This window comes from Homo sapiens, chromosome 2, assembly GCF_000001405.40.
Source record: "Homo sapiens chromosome 2, GRCh38.p14 Primary Assembly".
NCBI classification, from domain to species: domain Eukaryota; kingdom Metazoa; phylum Chordata; class Mammalia; order Primates; family Hominidae; genus Homo; species Homo sapiens.
The window spans coordinates 170,840,136-170,863,817 of record NC_000002.12 but is presented as its reverse complement, the minus strand read 5'-3'; the positions used below and the strand labels follow the sequence as shown (position 1 = coordinate 170,863,817).

At 41.3% G+C, this 23,682-nt stretch overlaps 1 protein-coding gene across 8 annotated transcripts in view; it reads right to left on the bottom strand.

Moving 5' to 3' along the window:
* GAD1 (glutamate decarboxylase 1) overlaps positions 2,667 to 23,682 on the bottom strand; it is a 47,942-nt gene continuing 26,926 nt past the window's right edge. For 3 of the 8 annotated variants that reach the window (XM_011510922.1, NM_000817.3, XM_017003756.2), the window contains exons 7-17: positions 19,661 to 19,773; positions 18,197 to 18,312; positions 18,033 to 18,112; positions 17,755 to 17,809; positions 16,026 to 16,142; positions 14,468 to 14,532; positions 11,026 to 11,104; positions 9,796 to 9,945; positions 6,693 to 6,800; positions 4,925 to 5,014; positions 2,667 to 4,109 (exon numbers count right to left, since the gene is read on the bottom strand). In XM_011510922.1, the coding sequence (XP_011509224.1) occupies positions 3,936 to 4,109; positions 4,925 to 5,014; positions 6,693 to 6,800; positions 9,796 to 9,945; positions 11,026 to 11,104; positions 14,468 to 14,532; positions 16,026 to 16,142; positions 17,755 to 17,809; positions 18,033 to 18,112; positions 18,197 to 18,312; positions 19,661 to 19,773 (1,147 nt within the window). In that variant the 3' untranslated portion in view covers positions 2,667 to 3,935. Of the gene's footprint in view, positions 4,110 to 4,924; positions 5,015 to 6,692; positions 6,801 to 9,795; positions 9,946 to 11,025; positions 11,105 to 14,467; positions 14,533 to 16,025; positions 16,143 to 17,754; positions 17,810 to 18,032; positions 18,113 to 18,196; positions 18,313 to 18,767; positions 19,242 to 19,660; positions 19,774 to 21,058; positions 21,250 to 23,682 lie in introns of those variants that run through there. The other 5 variants (XM_047443874.1, XM_024452783.2, XM_017003758.3 and 2 more) reach the window with 5 other exon arrangements.

Below are 23,682 nucleotides of genomic sequence, written 5' to 3'. Positions count from 1 at the left end.
CCCAACTACAAGGTCTGGACAGTGTAGACTGCCAGGGGCCCAGGCCTGAGGGTCTGAGTCCTAAGTGGTTGCAGGAGGATAAACCTTTACTGCCTCCTGTGCAATGAGCTGGGAGGACCCCAGAGGGATCCTTCAAAAGTGCTTCACGAAAAAGCAAATTAGAACCACAAGATAACACTTTTAGAATGGCCAGCATGGGGGGAAAATGACAGTACCAAGTGTCAGCAAGAATATGGAGCAACTGGAATATTTGTGCATTGCTGGTGAGAATGCAAAATGGTACAGCCACTTTGGAAAATAGTTTAGCAGTTTCTGATAAAATTAAACATATTATTAATGTTATCTTGCAATCCTACACGTAGGTATTTACCCAAGTTAAATGAAATCTATGTTCACAGAAAAATCTGCACACTATTGTTTCCAGTAGCTTTATTCTAATCGCCAAAAAAACTGGAAACAACAGAAATTCCCCTCTACTAAGGGATGGATAAGCAGAGTATGGTACATTTATGCAAATGGAATACTATGCGGTAGTGAAAAGGAATGAACACTGATATAGAGATAACATGGATGGATTTCAAGTGCACTACGTTAAGCAAAAGAAACCAGACTAAAAAAAGACTAAATCTTATATGATTCCATTTACATGGTGGGAAAGGCAAAAGTCTAGGGACAGAAAACAAAGCAGAGGTTGCCAAGAGCTGAGTAGGAGAGGTGTTCAGTACAAAGGGGGATGGGAAATTCGTTGGGGTGACAGACCTGTTGTAGACCTTGATCATGATGATAGTTATTAATACATGACTGAATGGGTTTGTCAAAATCCACAGAAAACTATACACAGTACACTACAAAAAGTTTCATTGTATCTAAATTTTACCTTAATTCCAAAAATCCTCATTCACTCCAGAAAATTTCTCAAAAAAAAAAACAAAAAACCCCCCCAAAAAACAAAAACTCATGTTCCAGGGAACTTGATGCCCAATGACAATTTAATAGCCATGTAAAATTTTACCTTTGTCACGTTATCCCTTCCTCCCGCTAGGCCTGACCCTGAATGAGGAAGCACAGGAGCTAGGGAGATGAGCTGAAAGATGAAGAAAAAAGGTGACCTCACCCACCGTCAGCCTTGCTCTCCCTGCCACTGTAGGCTTGCAGCTGAAGCAGTGCCAGATCGGGGGGAGGGGGGAGAAACTCTATATCATATAAAAATTGAAACTTTGCTTATTACATCAACCTGGACCCTCAGTTGCAAAAATGAGACTGTTCATGCACCCGAGAGGACAGAAAAGCTATGGGATTGGCCTAAATTCAAATGGGGGCATGGAAAAAATCAGCCCCCAGGGGCGTTTTATAGAAACAGTGAGAGAAAGAATAAGTGGCTTTATGATCACTCCCTATAGAGTCGTTTAATACAATGGTTACATGCAATCAGTGTGCTAATTACAAAGGACTCTTCTGTATTCCCTACCTGTGCTAAATAGGGAGCTTCTTGTATTCCAAATGAGTGAGATTGTATTAATATAGCTGAATAAAATATTGTAGAAAATGGGCTGGGCGCAGTGGCTCACGCCTGTAATCCCAGCACTTTGGGAGGCCGAGGTGGGCAGATCTCGAGGTCAAGAGATTGAGACCATCCTGGCCAACATGGGGAAACCGTGGCTCTACTAAAATACAAAAACTAGCTGGGTGTGGTGGTGCACGCCTGTAATCCCAGCTACTCAGAAGACTGAGGCAGGAGAATCGCTTGAACCGGGGAGACAGAGGTTGCAGTGAGCTGAGATGGCGCCACTGCACTCCAGCCTGGTGACAGAGTTGAGACTCTTTCTCTCTCTCTCTCTCTCTCTCACACACACACACACACATACACACACACACACACACACACAAAGAATATTGTAGAAAATCAGTCCCATATCCTAATGATCCAGCACCAACATATATTTCCCTAGGAAGTGAATGGGGACCACTCTACAAGCATAAAGCAGCAGGAAGTTATGCTTCTGTGATCTTAGAGGCACTCAGTTAGCAGAGATACCAAGTGATGTAAGATGCCCACTAGAAGGAATACTTATCTTTTGTTGAATGACTGAATGAATGTAACTCCAAGATGCAAGTAGGAAAAGGAGAAACAGGGATGGCTTTTCTTTCTCAAGGCTTGAACTGCACATTTAATTAATTATAATCATAATGATTTTATTGATTGATTGAGACAGGGTCTCACTCTGTCACCCAGGCTGGAGTGCAGTGGCACGATTTCAGCTCACTGCAGCCTTGATCTCCTGGGCTCAGGTGATCCTTGCACCTCAGGTTCCCAAATAGTTGGGACCACAGGTGCGCATCACCACAGCTGGCTAATTTTTACATTTCTTGCAGAGACAGGGTTTCGCCCTGTTGCACAGATGGGTCTCGAACTCCTGAGCTCAAGTGATCTGCCTGCCTCAGCCTCCCAAAGTGCTAGGATTACAGGCATGCACCACCATGCCCAGCCCATAATGATTTTATAGATGAGGAGCTTCAGAGCCTGTGACAGTGGATCGAGTCTCCTTCAGCTTAATCAGGGTACTGAGCATCACCTAAAGTCAGCCAATAGAAAGCAAATGGGCTATGGGCAACCCAAGGAACTCTAATTAGAAACATCTCTGTATGAAACACAAACTAGAAGAAAATTTTGTTCAAATTCTCCATGGAGAATATTTTTATTTATTTATATTCTTCTTGCATACTCTAAAACGCACAGTGTGAATTTCCCTTCTTCAAAAACAGTTGTGAGCCTGGTCACTTTATCTGAGATCTTCAGAAGGTCTTCGGAAATGTTGCCTTAGGTTTCAGCTAAGCGAGTCACAGAGATTGGTCATCAACTACTACAAAATTACAGGAGATCTAGTTATTATCCAACAGTTGCTAGAAAAGCATTGAGAACACCAGACGTACAGCCAGACAGAGAGCGTAAGAGAAGAGCAGATGCTATTTAAGTAACAGGATTTCCATATATATGACTTTATGTACAATCTTAGAATTCTCTTACAGACAGTAAAATGCTTAAATCATTATTTTAAGGGCACTCTAATATAAATACAAATCTCACTAATTTTAATCTTTTCTCTTTGGCTCACAAATGCACGAAAATACCATAAACAGTTTTCAGAACTTACTTCATATATAAATAAGATACATTACAAATGGGAAGAAAATACAAGACGCCTCTTTAACATGGTACATCTCTGAATATAAATAAGCAAATATTTCATTGACCTACAATTAAACAATCATTGAAATCATGACACATAGTCTCCCCCTCCCACCACCAAGGTCAGACAACAGGAATTTACACAATCTACACAAATTAATCTCTAAAAATACAGCCATAGTACACCTGTAACAATGACTCTGCTACTATTTTCCCCTAACAGGATACTAATGGGGAGGGTGTGACTTGTCATTTGGTGGTGTTTTTTCTCATCCATCATCACTTCAGGTGGAGAAACGCTGACAGTGAGGTCGATTCTCACCAACAGCATTTCCCTCGGCCCCTAGGACATGGCGTTTTGAAAAACAGTTTTCCTGGAGTTGTTGGACAAGCTGGTTGGCAGCATGTTTAGCTCCTCGGTAACTGCTGAAGGTAAAGTGAATTCTCTTGGAGCGGGAAACATGCCGTGATCTATTACTAAGCCACACTCACTATACATGTATATATAGAGAGAGGTATGTATAACTGTACATATATACTCTGTTCCTAATGTGCAACTTTTTAAAAAGAACACTATTTCCTGCTAACTAGAACAAACAAGCTTTAAGTAAGGTTTTAACAATATTCTTCAAGATATTATGTTTTCCCTCAATGAAATGGCCTGTGTGTTTCAGCAACATATAGAGGTTTGTTCTGGAGTGCCAGAGGGAAAAGGCATTCCCATAAACTCATGTTCTGCGAAGGATGATTACAGATCCTGGCCCAGTCTTTCTATCTCCTCAATGAGGAAGTCAATGTCAGACTGGGTAGCGGCTGGGTTGGAGATGACCATCCGGAAGAAGTTGGCCTTGTCCCCTTGGGGCTGGTAGCCAACCATGGTCGTACCTGACTCCATCATCAGGGCTTTGATTTTTGGAGCCACCTTGTGATGGAAAACACAAAACAAAACTCAAGATTGATATGAACACCCTCTCTTTTTAACAATTCAACCCAACTTGCATTTTACTATTTGTGTTTACATTGACATAAAAGCAAAGAAATATTTCATATCCAGGAATCTTCAGGGGCTAATATCAAATGACTACCTGGTCACAAGTTCCCTCAGAAAGTACTGTGCAACCGAATTTTGAAAGTCAGTCATGGAACAATGATAGTAAAATAAAAAATGAAGACAAAACCAAAAAACTCTTATAGACAACACCACAAATTCAGGGTTTTGTATAACCCAGAGCCCAGGATACTGCCTGGCACACAGACTGTGTTTAACAAATATTTGTTGAATGGTTGGATGAATGAAATGTTATATAAATTAAATATAATCTTAAGAACCCTGGATAAGATATAAACTGGATATAGAAAACAGTTAGAATGAATCAGCATTACAGTGGGCCTGAACTTAAAATGTTATTGTAACAGACACAGTTTAATCTAGAATGTCCCTAGGAATATGCACATTATTCCCTTACCCTGCATAGGGCTCCTTTAATGAAGAACATCAACCAAGGACAAGGAGACAAGATGCATCCTTTAGAAGTTCCCGTGGTAACCACAGTAAGGGGGCGATGCAGGCTCAAGAGGAATATAACAGGATGGCTCCCCACCACCCCATTACTAGAAACCCACCCCAAGGCTTTATTTTTTATATTTCCCCCACTAGAAAGGCACATTGGAATGAGGATGTCCTGACCAGCCAGAGAAATTGCAGAGGATTAGATGAGACAAAAAGCAAGTCCATACCTTGTGTAGCTTTTCCCGTCGTTGAGGGCTGTCTGGCACACCCCTGAGGCTTTGTGGAATATACCAAAAACAGACGTTTGTGTGCTCAGGCTGCAGAGATTTTAAAAGACAAACAAAGAAAATTAGGATAACTTGAGAGAAAGCTGTTCCCAAACCAATATGCATCCTTGGTGGAAGTCTCTTGGACCAAAGAAAGAGGTTGAATGTTCATCTCAAAGGCAATGTTACTTCCACACCAGGGAGAACAATGCCTCATTTATCCAATCATATGTGGCAAGAGAGCTGTTCCCTACAACCAATTTTCTAGGTAACTAAAGTTACCGACTTTAAACATTGAAATGTTACAAATAATTACATTTGGGCAATTTTTTAAAAAAGGTATCCGTCTGTCCATGTTGTCATTTTGTAGTGCCTCACATATAGAAGATAATTGAAACATAGTTTATGGATGCTGATGAATATTTTATTGAGTTTATTATATTGATATTGAATCTTTTCTTGATGACTCAGGACTATCATAACAAACATTAAGACTGGATATATCAATTAATAGGGTTGCTCCTAAAAAAAACCAAAAGACTGTTTCTACAGCATAAGGCAAGGCCTGTTGAGATGCCTCAAACTGTTTAGTGTCCCTCCTCTAAAGATTCCTGTGCTTTTTGAGTTCTTCCCTATTCTTGCTATAAAGTTTTCTCGCTGGTTGCTGTTTGCCATTACTGTGCCTGCCTCTAATTGGTTTGAGATATCACATTTGTTGTTTTTAATCTGCTATTAAGAGTGTTTAAAGTAGTGTGTAAATGATCAGAGCAGTGTCACTGATTTTAAACTGCCCAGGGCTCTTTTTTGTTCATTTGGTGATTCACATGTGTTCCTAGTAGTTTAGGTTGCCTGATAAATAGAATAATGTTGACTGTAAGCAGTGTTATATTATACTGGCTTATAAGTGGATTTTCTTTTATTCAACACTGGCTCCTATTCTATCTTTCTTTATTCAAGTGTAAGCTCCATTGGGTCAGAGAATGTATCTGTTTTGTTCAATACTCTAGAATCTAGGTCCTAGCAGGAGGCCTGGCACACAGTGGGTACTCAGTAAACACTGACAAATACTTTGCTGTGTGCAGTATGCACATGAACTGAGGGCAGAGACAATTTTATCTTGCTCTCTTCCTTATGAGTCTATGTTAAGTAGAACCTTATTTTAGAACAAGTCTTGGGAGGTAAGAATATACCCATCCTATAAGCTTCCTGGAAATGAAAACCACTTTATCGTTTTGTAAAATTTCTTTTCATAAATTATATATATTTTTTCTTATAGAGACAGGGTCTTGCTATGTTGCCCAGGCTGGTCTTGAGCTCCTGGACTCAAGCAATCTTCCTGCCTTGGCCTCCCGAAATGCTGGGATTACAGGTGTGAGCCACCATGCCCAGCCTGAAAAACACTTTTTCATAAAGGTTCAACACAAAACAAACCCAAGAATGATGAAGGATTCAGACCTGTCAAGGAAAGACCTCTTGTCTGCCAAAAGCTGGCCAAGAGCAACACAGTTTTAAAAGATGTAAAGGAAAAAGTCATCCCAGTGCTACCAGAAGAAAAGTTCATAGACATGGAAGGAATTAAAGAGAGGAATTAAGAGTGTATAAGAATAAAAATTTTGAAGCAGTTTCTGGCAACATGGGATTGATTTTCCCATGTTGCCAGAAGCTTCAGGAGCTTCCCTCAGCAGTTTTTCTGGAAATACTGTGTACCTGGTCCATGATGATTACCTACCTCGCCATTGAAAACCATCTCAAATTCTTCTCTGTTTTTAATCTTGGCATAGAGGTATTCAGCCAGTTCCAGGCATTTGTTGATCTGGTTTTCAAATCCCACTGTGCCCTGTTTTAAAGAGAAAAGTCATGTTTGTGGTTGCATTTCCCTGTGATGAGCATTTGGGAAGGCTATGCTGTCCCTGTCTATGGGAAATAAACAAAAAAAGTATTTTTGGAGCTGGTTAGGAAGAACAATCTAATCAAATATGTCAGCTTTTTCACAGATGTGCATGCAATAAATGATGTGTGCCTGCTTCCTCTTTCAAAGGCACTCCAGTCTCTGGGTAGTTATTCTCAACTGGACCTATGCCTGATTCTGGTTTGCTTTAGGATGGTGCTACTCAAAGTGTCATCTATGAACTGAGGCCACTCCACAACTGTAACTGGTCTACAATCAAATGAGTGTAGAAATTGAGATTAAGCATAGGAAACTTTAATGGCAATTGGACAAAGGGATTTTGTCTGTTGACTCTAATAAAAAACAGTGGCTTGTTCTTTGTATGTTTTTAAATTTCATTTTTCTAACAATTAATCTTTAGGGTATTGGTCCATGATAGGTGAAAAACAACAACAACAACAACAAATAACTGGTTCTTCATCAGAAAAACTTCGAAAGATACTGCTGTAGAACTCATCTTCCCCAGCAGTAAGTCCTTGTGAAACATGTCCCATGCCCTCTCAGGCAGGCAACCTTCCACATAACAGTGTTATGCCTTTTAGGTGACAGGCAGGCAGGTAGATGGGGAAGCCATTGGTCTCAGTATATGCCCTGATATTGCAATAGTTCCAACTATTGACAAACTGGTTGAGCATGAGTTTCAAAAGCCAGCATGGCTGATTAATAACAGCAGTATGAGGGTTGTTGAGTGGGTCGGTGTTAACAAGGAGAGCAGATGCACAAGGCTGGCTGTGGATTGCTAATGGGCCTGAGCAAAGTCCAGCACTGAGAAAGCATCAGCCTCCCCAGGTAGTGTCACTGCTGACTGTACACCCTAGTCAGTCCACTTAGGAATGAAGCCTGTACCAGGGTCCCATTTCAGCAACCAATCACTATGGTCAAAACCTGCAGCAGATGGTTCAAGAGGTTATTGTTAGAAACAAAAAAGAAGACACAAATTACTGAAACAGGTTGTGTGGTCATTATATTTCAAAATGACACGACTCCTTTTTTGTTGTTGCCGTTTATGGCTTTTTTTTTTTTTTTTTTTTTTTGAGATGGAGTCTCACTCTGTTGCCCAGGCTGGAGTGCAGTGGCATGATCTCGGCTTACTGCAACCTCCGCCTCCTGGGCTCAAGTGATCCTCCCACCTCAGCCTCCTAAGTAGCTGGGACCACAGGCATGCGTCATCACACCTGACTAACTTGTATTTTTTGTAGAGATGGGGTCTTACTTTGTTGCCCAGATGGGTCTCGAACTCCTGAGCTCAAATGATCCGCCTGCCTTGGCCTCCTAAAGTGCTGGGATTACATGCGTGAGCCACCGTGCCCAGCCTATGGCTATTTATATGTTTAAAATTCCTATGATTACTTTGTAATAGAAATCAAATTCAGACTATTTCTATATTAAGTCAAAATAGAGCTGGGTGCGGTGGCTCACGCCTGTAATCCCAGCACTTTGGGAGGCCAAGGTGGGTGGATCACTTGGGGTCAGGAGTTCAAGTCTAGCCTGGCCAACATGGTGAAGCCCCGCCTCTAGTAAAAATATAAAATTAGATGGGCATGGTGGCGCATGCCTGTAATCTCAGCTACTTGGAAGGCTGAGGCAGGAGAACTGCTTGAATCTGGGAGACGGAGGTTGCAGGGAGCAGAGATCGCGCCTCTGAACTCCAGCCTGGGCAACAGGAATGAAACTGTCTCAAAAAAAAAAAAAAAAAAGACAAAATGACTTACTGAGGAAAAAACTAATAATCTACCAAATTTTTCCTACAGAAGAAATATTTGACTAGAAATTTTGCCAGAAAATCTTGTTGTTTGAGTGTTAGTTAGACAGTTAGACTCAATCTTAAACATAGAAATTATTAAAATTAATTTATAACAAAAACAAGGTATGTAATATAAAACTATGAAATCAAAATTTCTTTTCCTTGATTGCATACAAATATTTTTGAAACAAATAATCAAATGGTAATCCTCTCCCTCACTCATATTTTGGGGGAAATTCCAATAGTTAGCTTTTTTCCTTAGGTACAGAAATGAAACCCAAAAGGTTGATGAATGCAGACACAGCATGCTACCATCTAAAAGTAGGATTTTTCACAATAAAGTATACATTTTCCAGAATGGTGTATTAACTACAAACAATGGGAAAGGCATTATTGAAGTTGAAGTTAAAACTGTCATACATAGCCCATGTTGAGAAGCCTCATAAAAGAATTCAAGGGGCCGGGCGCGGTGGCTCACGCCTGTAATCCCAACACTTTGGGAGGCCGAGGTGGGCGGATCATGAGGTCAGGAGACTGAGACCATCCTGGCTAACGCGGTGAAACCCCGTCTCTACCAAAAATATTTTTTAAAAAATTAGCCGGGCGTAGTGGCGGGCCCCTGTAGTCCCAGCTACTCTGGAGGCTGAGGCAGGAGAATGGCGTGAACCTGGGAGGCGGAGCTTGCAGTGAGCCGAGATCGCGCCACTGCACTCCAGCCTGGGCTACAGAGTGAGACTCCATCTCAAAAAAAAAAAAAAAAAAAAAGAATTCAAGGTTCTACTCAGAATAATGCAGTAATTTTATTTTTTTTTATCTTTCTCTATGCCTGCACTAAATAATTCCAGCATCCCCAAGGATTGCTGCAGAAATCCTTATCTTGGCATAATTTTTAGTTGTTATAAGAGAACGTTATAAGAAGACTTCATAATAGTTCAAATTGAGGAGACTGAACAAAAGGAGAGAGAATTTGACATAAGGAATAAAGTAATTTCATTCACAAAGAAAACACAGTTAATTCAATTATCTAGATATTGATTCCCCATATAGTGAATTATCTGTGATATATCTTTGCCCCTCTTTTGCCAGCCAGTCTGTGCAAATTACATTTCTGCTCTATTTCCTGAACTATTCCCTTCATACCTTTGCTTTCCACATCAGCCAGAACTTGAAGATATCCACGTGGCGGCCACACTGAATTGCCTTGTCCCCGGTGTCGTAGGAGACATCATACTGCTTGTCTGGCTGGAAGAGGTATCCTGCACACATCTGGTTGCATCCTTGGAGTATACCCTATCATGGAAATTAAGATGGGTGCATCTGCATTTACACATCAGAGATGTGGGTGGCTTTAAAACTAGGCTGCTTGGAAGGAGGGGCTTGGGGTCATATGCAATCTTTCTTCTGATGTCTTTATGAGGCCTTACACTTGTTCTGATGCCCTTTTCTAAAATCACTCTTGGAAAAACTGCCATCCCTTTTGTCTCTGACTCTCTGATTAGAAGATGATCTTTCCGTCTCAGATGCCATCCCTCTAAGGGGAAATGTGTATGGGTGTCTGGGATTGTTTCAAGATTGGGAAGTGCTACGGCATTCAGTGGGCCAGGGTTAGAGATAGAAAATTCCTCAGTGGGTGGGATAGTTTCATGCTGTGAAGAATTTTTCTCTCCAAAAGCGCTCTGGCAAAAGTCTTCCAACCTTTCCAGGACCTCCTATGACATTAACATGGATTCCACATATGAGTGGACTAAAGACGCTGTGCAGATTCTGGCTCCTACAGGCTGGAGACAGACTTTTTGGAATGCTTCTGTGTGCAGAAGTTTTACTGGAGCAACAAAGCCTTGGAGGGCAGGATCCTAACATTAGGCATGTGAAGAAGGGAATATGAGGCTCAACCATTTACAGCAGCTTTTGGGGCAATATTCCTTGTGGCCCTAAGTTGATATTTGTAGTTGTTGTTCTGTCTCATTTATTTCAGTTCTTGGGACCACACGTTTATACTAAGAACTCCGAGTATGCTCCAGTGAGTGCTTTTGTCCTCACTGAGGACAAAACTGATTGGATGCCTCACCTACTTGCTCCCACTTTTTTTGTGCAAACATGAAGGAATACTCAATTAAATAATTTCCTTAAAGGTTCAGTTGCTGACAGACCCTGAGTACTGATCAAAGAAGAAGCACAGTAGCCAGCAAGAGCCAAGAGAAGAAACCAGGTTAGCTGCAAGGGCAGGAAAGGACAGCAGCAGTAGTCTCTCAGTGGGGCTGCCAATCTCGTGAGTCAGCCAACAAGTACTGCAAAGAGACCCCACGTGTGTCTTTTTGTGCTTTCTAAAGAACGTACGGGCCCCAGTGTAGCTTTGGAGGGAGTACAGACCTTTTCCTTGACGAGAATGGCAGAGCACTGCAACAGCACGCCCATCATCTTGTGAGGGTTCCAGGTGACTGAGTTGGCCCTGAAAGAAGCACATGAGACTTCGAGAAGGTGCAGGAGTTGGAAAGACGCAACTGTTCTCTTGAGGAAAACACCCATTCCAACTCAAGTTAGTAAATATTATCCATGCCTATTCTCCTGAATTGACTAATCAAGTAGCAAACAAATGTTTTGCAGGCAGTCTCGGAGTATTACATTACGGACTATATCTTAGAAGTAACTGCTATTAACAATAGCTAACATTTATGAATAACTTATTATATGTCTTATTGTCTTGAGAGCTTTCAGGTATTATATCAATATGGTATGGTTAAGAATTCAGGCTTTGGAGCCAAACTGTTTAAGTCTGAGTCCTAGCTCTAATATTTGTTAGCTTGGGCACATTATATAACTCTTATGTGCCTCAGTTTCTTTTAAATGGGGAGTGTGTGCCTCACAGAATTGAATAAAGGACAAAATAACTTAATATAAAATGCTTATAAGAGTGCCTGGCACACATAATCCTTACCACAACCCTATAAGGTAGGTACTATTATTACCTCTGTTTTAGATGGGGAAACTAACATGCCAAAAGGTTAAATATATTACCCAAAGTCACAGAGTTGGGAAGTGTTGGAGCCTGGATTCAAGTCCAGGGCCTCTAAGTGCACAGCCCTTTTTTGTAACCACTCCACTAGACTGCTTCTCTCTAGGAGACACAGTGGCTTCTTTCTGCCTTTCTCTTCTCATTTATAGGCTGGTGATGCTGCCCTACCCACTTATGGGGCAGTATCAAGAGTGGCACCTAAAAGCAAGGCTCGACTGGACTACTCTAGACTCTGACTACCTAGCAGAATTATTTAAATGCTAAATTAGAGTGATTTTGCCAGTTTGGGCTGCAATGATAGCTTAACAAGCATGGTCTCCTAGCAACTGCATCATTCTGTCAGACACAATTAGATGGTTAAGGAGCACACTAGCTAGGGCATTACAGAAACAACTAAGTCTAATGTATGATGATGAAAACATGGGTAACTTGCCTCATTGGTTTGCAGACTCCTTCCCAAAGGCCTGGCCTATAGCTAGGTGCTGCATTTTAATACCTGTGAAGGATCTTTTCCCCTAGATAGAGCAATTGGCTCAGAATCATCCTGCCTCTGCTCTCCCTAGAGCTAAACCCTTGTTGTGAACTTTCAACCTCTTCATCGTGCTTAGGTCCTTTAGTTAAAGGACCTAACAAAATAATTTAGTGCACTCTGTTTCAAGGAGAAGAGAGGAAGGTCTGAAGAACTTTTCCCTTCAGTGTATAATAAAACCTTTGTGAAAGAGACCTGTGAAAAATTCCAAGGAAAGTTAACTAAGTGCTTAGCTCACTAAAAAGCATCAGTGTCAGGTCATATTTAAATGGTAGTGAATTTAATCAAATTTCTCATTGCTATCATTTACCAAGTCATTAAAAAATTATATTTAGGTCTCATAAAATGTCTTAAATGGTTTTCTGCATATCCTAAAGGTCTGAAGTAAATGATTCTTTGCTGCTACAAAAGGAAAGTAATAAGACATAATATGAATTCAATTTCCTTTAGAAGACTTATGTGATTTAAAATGTTAGAAAAGAAAAAGTCTAGTGTGAAATGTTTTAAGTTTTCCTAGACTCAAAGACAGAAAATTAAAATTGTCTGAGAAATCTAAAGTTAAATTGGGCTGGCTCATCCACAGTTCTTTTTTTTTTCTTTTTTTTTTAAGACAGAGTCTTGCTCTGTCACTCAGGCGGGAGTGCAGCGGCGTGATCTCGGTTCACTGAAACCTCTGCCTCCCAGGTTCTAGTGATTCTCCAGCCTCAGCCTCCTGCGTAGCTAGAATTACAGGTGTGCACCACCATGCCAGCTAATATTTGTATTTTTAGTAGAGACGGGGGTTTCACCATGTTGGCCAGGCTGGTCCCGAACTCCTGAGCTCAAGTAATCTGCTCTCCTTGGCCTACCAAAGTGCTGGGATTACAGGCCACTACACCCTGCCCAGATTTTTTACATTATCCTCCGAGTTACGGGGTTGTCCACTTCACAGAGCCGGTCTCACCCACGTTGACACTGGTCTTTCAAAACTGAGACAAAAGTTTGGGGAGGCACAGTAGAGGTAACAAAAGCCAGAGTCCTGGCTGTGGGAGAAGCCCTGGGCGGGCTCTCCCTGCCTGCTCCATGTTTGCCTCTCCCTCCTTAGTCTGCTTCTACCTCTCTCACCTTGCTCCAGCCCCAATGGCCTCTTTGATCCTCCTCCCACTTGCCAAGAACAGTCCTGCCTCAGGGCCTTTGCACTTGCCACTCGCACTGCCTAGAATACTGTTCCTCATATCCTTGCTTCCTGTCTCCCTTTATCGCAGTATCTGCTGATATGTTACCTCCTCAGGAAGGCCTCTGACTACCCTGTCTGAAACAGCATGCCTTGTCACTCACTGCTACCTAACCCTGTTTTATTTTTCTTTACTATGAGACAGATTAAATATTTGTTATGAACATCTAGCCCACTGGAATGTAAACTTCAGGAGGACAAATCTCTTAGTTGATAACACCTTTCATATACTGCCTTATTTTTTCTGCATTTATCAGATATGCATTTTTATTAGAAAAGCACCATAGGTGGCTGGATGGAAGACACATAACTGAATATTCACATCAACTCCTACCTGGCTCATGATAGGTGCTCAGTAAATACATGCTGAACGAATCAATGAATCATTGTGACTTTGTTATGGGTCAACACTTAGGAGTCAGGTCAAAATCATATTTGGCCTAGAACATCCACTGAATTTGAACAGTGAAAAAGAAAATAAGTTAGGAGCTGAGTGTCCTGCCCTTTCTGGAAGTAAGCTTAATGAGGAAGAAGAGGAAAGTGAACCAGTGGCCCTTCCTGTGCCCTTGGCAAACTCTGATGGCCTCCAATTCCCCTCACTGGTTAGTCTCTCTTATCTCCTACCTGGGTACCTGCAATTGTCTCCTGTTACACTTATCACATTGTGTTCTAACTACTTGTTTATTGTCTTTCTCATTGATTGATTGATTGATTGATAGCTATTAGAGACAGGGTCTCACTGTGTTGCCCAGGCTGGTCTCGAACTCTTGGGCTCAAATGATCCTCTCACCTCGGCCTCCTAAATTTTTGGGATTAGAGGCGTGAGCCACCACACCTGGCCTGTCTTTCTTTCTTTCTAAATTGTGAACTCCTTCAGGACTCATTTGACTGGGAAATCAGTCATCCAATAAATGCTCAACAAATGCCTGCTGAACTGAAGCAAACTTAGACCGAAATATGATGCTGGGGATCAGGGCAGGGTGGTGCAGGCTGACATCAGAGCATGGTCTGTTTGATGTGCTGGGTGGAAGGAGGCCTGGCGAGTTCTGGCCGTTACCTTTCTATGCCGTTGAGTTTATGGCGGTGCTTCCTGGACATGAGCAGCCCACCTCCCCAGGCAGCCTGTGGGGACAGAGAAAGGAGAGGAAGAGGGGAGCAGTGACATTTAAGAATCTAAAACTAGTCAGTCCTCACTTCTACTAAAACATGAGCAAGAAAGTACAAGGTGAAAAACATAAGTTTCTCAGAAAAGTTCAGCCCACACTGATTGTTCAATCAGTTGTGATTCTTCATTGCTTGTCATTTCTTTTTCAAAGTTCCTCTGGACTTTAGCTGCACAAGTGATACAGCTAGGCCAGGTCTGAGCCTGAGGTGCCTGTTCTGCCAAGACCCAAAGGTCCAATGGCCCATTAGCCCAATGTGTTGTGGAAAGCCAACACAGTGAGTCCCCCTCCGGGTGGCTCTGGAAGCTGCTCAAAAAACTGAGGCCTGCTGTCTGGTTCTTCCCAGAGTAGAATTCTAACAGCTCCTGAAAAACTCAAAAAGCAGCAGTTCCTGCTGGGTTTGGAGGTCTCACAACAACTTATGTAACAACAAGACATTTTTGTGGGTACCATGATGCATGTTTACTGAATAGTTGGGATGCCACGTGACACAGCCTTTGTTAGTCATTAGTTCAGTAGCAAGGCAGATGATCCTATTGGCCAATTGTGAGAAGTTAAATCCCTAAGAAAATGGGCAGAGAGAAAGAAAAAAAAAAATACACCCAGTCACACATGTGAAAATGCATCTTTTGTGTTCCTGGGAAGATTTGGGATTAAGTCTCTTAGTTGATAATGCCTTCCGTATACTGCCTTATTTTTCCTAAATGTAGCAGATATTCTTTTTCTTTTTTCTTTTTTTTTTTTTTTTGAGACAGAGTTTTGCTCTTTTGCCCAGGCTGGAGTGATGTGGCGTGATCCCAGCTCACTGCAACCTCCATCCCTAGGTTCAAGTGATTCTCCTGTCTCAGCCTCCAGAGTAGCTGGGATTATAGGCACATGCCACCACACCCAGCTAATTTTTGTATTTTTAGTAGAGACGGGGTTTCACCATGTTGGCAAGGCTGGTCTCAAACTCCTGACCTCAGGTGATCCACCTGCCTTGGCCGCCCAAAGTGCTGGCATTACAAGCGTGAGCCACCGCGCCCAGCCAGATATAACCTTTTTAAGAGACGTGTCATAGACGGCTGGACTGAAGGCAGGTAGCTGAGGGTTCACATTCATGGCCACTTTCTGTATGTTGTGTCTTCTATTTTTTCCCTCTGAAATCAGTTATATTTTATTCTGTAGCCACTTGTCCCAACAAAGCTACCTGGGAAGGCAATGAGACCATATTCTAGGATGAACCACAGAAGACAGCAATCGACTAGTAAGGAAGTGGATGAGTCCCAGAGGATGTTCCAGGTCTGTGGTGTGTACCAGTTGTGAATGGCTGGCTAGGGTCCAGACAAGAACTGGAACTAATGTGGTGTGGAGAGAGGGCTGGCTGGGGCGTGGGGAGAAGCTTGAGGCAAGTCATAAAAAAGAGGTGCCTCCACCCCCCACATGGACTGGCCTGAGTTATATAGCACTTACATCGACATGCAACCAAAGGTTATATTTCTCACATATATCTGCAATCTCTTGTATCGGATCAAAAGCTCCATAAACAGTCGTGCCAGCAGTTGCATTGACATAAAAGGGAACATATCCCTACAAGGTAAGACAGATATAGGCTGATGAGTATTTTTAACCTTTCTCATTTGCTGATTTTCACAGGAAGAAGAATTGTGTAACATTTATTTCTAACAGTAAATGGCAAAACTTATGTATTACCAGATACTATGTCTAGTAGTGTTTTGTTGGCTCATTCACTCATTCATTCATTTATTCAACAAACATTTTTTGATTGCCTTTTATGTGCCAGGCCCTGCCATAGATGCTAGGGACTCAGCAGTGAGCACAACAGATAAAGAATTCTGTCATTGCGGAGTTTACATTTTAGTGGCAGGTGACAGATAATAAGCTAAATTAAATAAGCAAAATATACAGTATGTTTAATAGCAATAATTTCTATGGCAAAAAATAAAGCAGGAAAGAGTAATAATAAGTGTTTGGAATGATGGTCAGATAGTTCTGAATATCACCTGTGCATCATTCTTTTAAGAGGCTGTGTTGTTTTAAGTGTATTGATATAATAATTATACTGAAACATTGTGGGGTTCAATTATTTAAAAAAGGTCTATACACTGTGAAAGCTGATACACTCACTAACAGTGGACGTGGTTAAATGTTGACATAAACAAAAAATAAACGAAGGAGTAGAGTAATAGATCTAAGACAAGTTTGGGGAAATCTGTGAATCTTAAGCTTTTCTTTTTTTCTGAGACAGGTTCTTGCTCTGTCACCTAGGCTGGAGTGCATTGGCACGATCATGGCTCACTTCAGCCTCTACCTCTCCAACTCAAGTAATCCTCCTACCTCACCTGAGTGGCTGGGACTATAGGCGTGCACCACCACACCTGGCTATTTTTTAAAATTTTTTACAGAGATGTGGGTTACCCTATGTTGCCCAGGCTGGTCTTGAATTCCTGGGCTCAAGGGATCCTCCTGCCTCAGCCTCCCAAAGTGCTGGGATTACAGGTGCGAGCCCCCATGCCCTGCCTCTTAGGCTTTTGTGAAGCTCAGCTCCACCTCTGCTCCTTGCTCAGTCTTTACAACACTTAGATCCACTTCCTGTGCCAAGACCCCAGCAAATAACTACAATTAGAGAAGGAGGTATAAGAATGTAACTGAAACAACCATGTGTTGGTAAGTGGCCTGACAGCTACCTGGCACTGACTTGTGGATACATCTGTTCTGTGAGTTTTTTTGTTTAATAGAGTTTGTTGAGGCTGGATGTGCCAAGTACCATGGGCCATCTGCCAGGGCATGGAAGCACTTTGCTAAACAGAATCCTAAGCTAAAATGGCATCTGTTAAAATGAGATAATACCCAACAAGTAGTAAATAAAAAGTTCAATTAGGCTATATCTTCATGATGCTCAGGGATTTGATTTATTGAAGAACATCAAACCAATCACTTGGCACAATGAAGATAGGACAAATAGTTTAATGACCAAATTTTTCATTTTTTAAAAAAACCCTGATATTGTGTAGACACAGCTTTAAAACCAAATTATTTTACTAGTTGGAAATAAGCAAATTTGAAGAATAGAATTTTAGAAGCACAAGAAAATTGTCTCATATTATCAAGGACTGTTTTTGTCTAGGACAGAAAGAAGGTATTTTAAAACTGGAGTTCAGATGCACCACGGAGTACATACCTTCTGTTTGGCTTCAAGAATTTTTGCCTCAAAATCAGCTGGAATTATTTTCCCCCTATAATTATTGGAAAAGGAGGGAAATTAAAATGAAGAGTCAATGAGATTGCACATGAAAAAAACTTTAGCAGCAGCAAAAAGCAATTTAATCGGATATTTTCAACAGACCATTAGCAGCTTGGCACAATGTACTGAGCCAGTCCTTAAGCACAATAAAACAAATTTAACAGATGAACACATTTAATACATCAAGAACCTAATATTCACCCTCCCCTGCCTACCTTTCATTGCACTTTATCAAAATCACATTGTCAGTTCCAAAGCCAAGTGCAGCCCCAGCTTTCTTTATGGAATAGTGACTCTGCAACAAACAGAGGCTCGAGGTTAGAAGTTGGAAAGTCCCCTAAAAAACACCACTATCCATGAGAAAGCATCCCCGACTCACCTGTTCTGAGGTGAAGAGGACCAGTTTAGGCACAGCCGCCATGCCCTTTGTCTTAACTTCCGGGAAGTACTTGTAGCGAGCAGCCATGATGCTGTACATGTTGGATATGGCGCCCCCTGTCAGCAAGCGGACATATTGGGAGGTGTTGGGGCTCTTTGATTATTGTTTCTAAAAACGAACGCTGAGCTGGTGTCTCAAGAGACAAGGGAGGTCAGGAAGCGAAAGGATAATATCCTGATAGGTTTTGCTGGCTTCCCTATTGCTGGGGCTTCCCACTGGACCCTTTACCCTGGGAATACAAGTAGTCACACTTATTACCAAAGCTATCTAGGCAATTTGGCTGGAGGTGATTCGTGTACTTCAGTGCGCTTTCCACCTGAAGTCTAGACAGAAATATAAGAGGTAGCTGCATCAGTGGCTGCAAAGGGATAGGTGAGTTATATCCTTCCTGCTTTACTTTCTGCTCAATCTATTTACTGAACAAAGATGAATCTGTTCCCTGAGTTCAGAAAGACAGAGAAAGAAAGAGTAACGGAGCTTACAGAAAGAAACAATGACATTTCTTGGTTACCTGCCTAGGTGCTCTCTTCAGCCCAACTGAGTTACTGAGTCATTTAGGAGAGCTCTAAGTTTATTAAAATAAGAACAAACTCATGTTTACCTAAATAAAGACACAAGGAGAACTGACATAACTATGTATGTTTGGCCAACACAAACTAGTTAATTTTACATTAATTATCTGACAATTAAACTTAGGCAAATTTGTGGTCTGCTTGAATTACCTAGATAACTGCAATTCTTATTTCTTCTTTTCCCCTTGTACACAATCACACTGTCTCTGACACCATCAGAATACCTATTCTTGTTTTAAAAATTCTTATTTTATCTACTTCAAACTAGAGATTCAAAGTAGATATACTATTTTGGCTGAAATCAATCAATTAATTAATAATCTTGATTCACTGATCCCCAGCATAATCAAACTGCTGTTGACAGAATGGAGTTGTTTAATAGTGAGACCTTGTTTCTACAAAAGAAATTTTAAAACGGCTGGGCATGGTGGCACATGCCTATAGTCCCAGCTACTTGAGAAGCTGAAGCAGGAGGATTGCTTGAGCCCAGGAGTTCGAGGCTGCAGTGAGCTAGGATCACACCACTGCACTCTAGCCTGGATGACAGAGTGAGACCCTGTCTCAAAAAAAAAAAAAAAAAAAGAAAAAAGAAAAAATGGGGTTATTTAGCATTATCTAGACACAGCCTTTGTCAGTTTTTACAGATTTAAGCATAGCCTTTGTTAGTTAATTCATATAGAATGTAGCATTTTTGTTAGCCTTCATCTTGAAAAAATAGGAAGTCAGGGTATCCAAAAAAAATGTTAAGGCATTATTCTTCCATAAACCTACTTCATATTTTGTATTCTTAAGAATCCCAAACCTTGAGAAGAGGAAGAGAAGAGAAACCTACCAGGAGAAAATATCCCATCACCATCTTTACTTGACCATCCAACTATCTCTCTCATCTTCTTAAGTGTTATTTGTTCCATGAGGACAAACACTGGTGCAATTTCATATGTAAACCTGGAAAGGTGGTAAGAAGAAGGATGAAAGAAAATAAAGAAGTCAAACCACTTATTTTAGGAACACAGAGGATTGGTTTAGTATTTGTAGTTGGGTTCTAAAAAAAAGCTGTTCCAAACCACTAACATGATTCATTTCCTGGAAATGCATTAAGTCGCCGATCATAAAATGTCAGAAACCAGCCTGGGTTACTGAGAGAGGTGGTGGAAGTGCCAGCCCTGTGATACTTCACCAACAAAATAGATTCTTATCTGAATGGAATGTCTTAGGCATGGTCCACCCAGAGGAATAGAAGGAAAGAAAATGACTTTTCTGAGTCCCTTTTACCTCTAAGATTATAGGACAATGCAAATGTTAATTGAAAAAAGCATTCCAAGTTCTATGTAAAATTGGTTTACAATTTGTTTAAAAAAAAAAAAAAAAAAGCTGACTGCCAGTTTCACACTTGTAGAATATATAAAAGCCAGAGCCAAAGTCTATCTTTTAAAAATAATGTAAACATCTGAAGGCTAACTGTGAAGATAATTGGAAATATTGACCCAGGTTTTAAAGATCTCAATATAATTATCTACATGGTTTTTCTGTAATAATCCTCAAGGACAGCTATGTTTCTATAATTCTCTGAAGTCAATATCTGTCAAGAATAATTCTAAGTGATGATTTTCTAATTACAAATTATAAATAACAAGAAGACGGTCAACTGGCATAAACAACTAGCTGTGGGCATCAGATATCTTGGAAGGTTACATTTGTCTTCTAAGAAACTGATTTAAAAGTAGCAAGCCATGCTCTTTTCAAAGCAATTCAACACAGAGGCATAGTCTGGTAGACTAGTCATTGAAACAAGATCGTGAGACCAAACGTGGGGCCTAAGAAAAATCAAGGAAGGTCTGTCCACAGAAAATTAAGCCAGAAAACAAAAAGATATTTACTAAGCTCTGAGGCTTTTTGTCTTTCTTGTTTTTGCTTGGCATTCTTTAGCATTAGAGTCTGTAGGCTGGGCTCAGATCATCCTCACCGAAAAGAGATGCCTAGACTGACTCAGCTAAGTGACATGGGGAAGCTTTATCACTGGTTAGGGTGTTTGAGCCAAGTGCTAATGTTGAAGACTAATGGGAATTCTTGCTTGCTTAATGTAAGGCAAAGCTATTTGTAAGGATGAGATAACTATTGTTTTACATAAGACACAGGTGAAGCTACTAAGTTTTAATTGTGGATGAAAAAAGCAGTCAAATTAATCACATGGAGGTAAAAGAAGACAAAAAGATCCTGAAGGATCCTCAGATATGTTGGTAGAAGTATTTTATTTCCAAAAAGAATATGTCCATTTTCCTTGGGAGGCCCCTGGAAATTTAGGAGGAAGACCCTTGGAAACCATGTGTGCAGTTACCATCACCTCTGGAGGTCACAATCATGCTTTGGTTCTGCTCTGAGCCCCATCACCGTAGCAACCAACACTCCCTCATGTCTGATGGCCTGATAAAGGAAGAAGAAGAGAAGGATTCCTGGTTTAGCCTGTGCTGCCAAGTGTACCAAGAGGCAAACTCATGATGGGCTTTTAACCATTCTTGAACAAATGTGTTATTAATGGTTCCACTGGTTTTTGGAAATGTTGACATGACAAAAATGTTTGCATGGCGAGGAGATACTGGTGGCAGTGTCTGTGCTAGAATCTCCCAGTACTATATAAGAAAGCTCTCTGGGGTAAGGCAAGGAACAAATGAAATCACATACCGTAATATCAGAACCATATCAAAGACTGGATGAAAGTTGGCTTAGGATCAAGTCAGTGTTGGCCAGGCAGGAACCACATGGACAAGGGAGAGGGAATGGGACTGAATATCAGGCATAGGTCCCACTCCATGCTTCAGATTTAAAACCAATTAGGCCCAAGGTTTGCATGAATTAGCCTCCCCAAGGACCAGGAACATGGCCATTACTCTCAGGATTAGGAGGAAGAGTCTAGAGAGTTTATCATGAGCTTAACTGATCTAATCTATTTCAGGTTCCTTATCTATGCCAGGTACCTGATTCCTAAACTTTCTTTCAGTTCTATTCAACAAATACTTACTGAGTGGCTATTCTCTGCCAGGTGACATCCTATGTACTAAGGAAACTAAGATATTAGAAGACACCATTCTCAACCTTGAGGAGGAAACCTACTAGGATGATTCTAGCATCTGGTTCTTGGCCTTAGCTGTATCCTGTTTGATAGTCCCTGCCTGAGTCTAAAGGACCAATTTTCCACTCTTTTCCTGACTTATTAGCTTAGGCCTGACACTCTCTCCTGAAAGCTAGTATATCAGTCCATGGCTGCTGATCCACAGCCAGGCCTGACAAATGGGCTGACATGGTGTTCTTCATTCCTGACACTTCTTCTGACCCTGCTGCCCCATCCTGGGCCATGTTTACAATCTGTGCAGCTGCACTCTTAAAGAAGGCCTTGTAGTTCACCAAAGCAGTTTTTAAAAATTTCTTATTTTTAACTTTATTTTATTTTATTTTGTGTAGAGATGGAGGTCTCACTATATTGCCCAGGATGGTCTTCAATTCTTGGCCTCAAGCGATCCTCCCGCCTTTGCCTCCCAAAGTTCTGAGATTACAGTTGTGAGCCACCATGCCCAGTGGTTCTTCACCTAATTGGGATTACAGATCCCTTTGGGAATCCTAGGAAATCTGTAGTCCTTCTCTCCAAGTAAAAAATGAAGATAGGCACATCATTTTGTATAGAACTATAGGAGATTCTTCTCTTGCAACCTAGATTCCAGGTTGGGTACTGTTTTCCTAAATGACTGAGGAAAGCAAATGAAGTCAAGAGATCAAAGGTCAAATATGAATTCAGAAGAAGCTGGTTAGATGCTAAAGTCAAAGTACAAGATTACATTTCAGAGTCAGAACCAGAAACTAAACCTGCCAGAAGCTCTGGGTTGAAGCATAAGAACATGGGATTGGAAGTAAAGATTTAAAACAGTAGGATGGTGGCATTCATGGAGTGACACTAGAGGAGCATTCTGAGCATGTCTATATTCCGAGTAGGGAAGTGAGTCAGCCCTTTTGCAGTGGTTCAACTCACCTTCCCGGAGGAGTTCACTCAGAGCGAAGGCAAATTGACTGTCAACAAGCTGTAGTTCTTGTGTGGCAGAGTCTGCTTGTTGCTACCCATATCAATTTTCCCTTGCTTTGTTAAATTTTATTTAGGGTTGCTGTTCACTCTGATCGAAGACTATATTTTCTACCCTTTTTTGGTGTGGTCTTGGACTAAGTTCTGGCTAAAGAGGCTTTATGGAAATGTGTGAGACCTCTGAGAAGGTTTTTTTTTTAATTTTTTTTTAATCAAAGAGGAGTATGTCTCTTTTGCCCTTCCCTCCCTCCCTCCCTCCCTCCCTTCCCTACCTCCCTCCTTTCCTCCCTTCCTCCCTTCCTCCCTCCCTCCCTTCCTTTCTGAGTTCTGGAACACCGGAGTGATGGCTGGAGCTCCAGCAGCCAGGCTGCACCATAATGCAACTTTGAGGATGGGAGCCATGTGCTACAATAGGGATTAGAAAGGCACACAAAATCTGGATCCCTGGTGACTGTCAAACTGGGAACTTCTTTAATGAGAGAAATAATCTTCCATGCTGACTCTATCCTGATACTCCTCTTGACTTCTCCTTACAGATGTGGCAGGTAGTACATCTTCACCTTAAAAGGTAACATAGCTGAGGGGAGCTTAGGGAAACACTCTACTGTCCAGATGATGAGAGACAGAAATAAAAGAGTCAGGAAAGTCTCAAATAGCAACAGTGACTGTGCGGTGGTTGCCTTTCCTAGGTGCAAACACTGTACCTTGTATACGCTAGGCACTTAGGACTGGAGCCATTTTTAGTCTTCAGAACCACTCTGTAGGATGGATACTATTATCCTCCATTT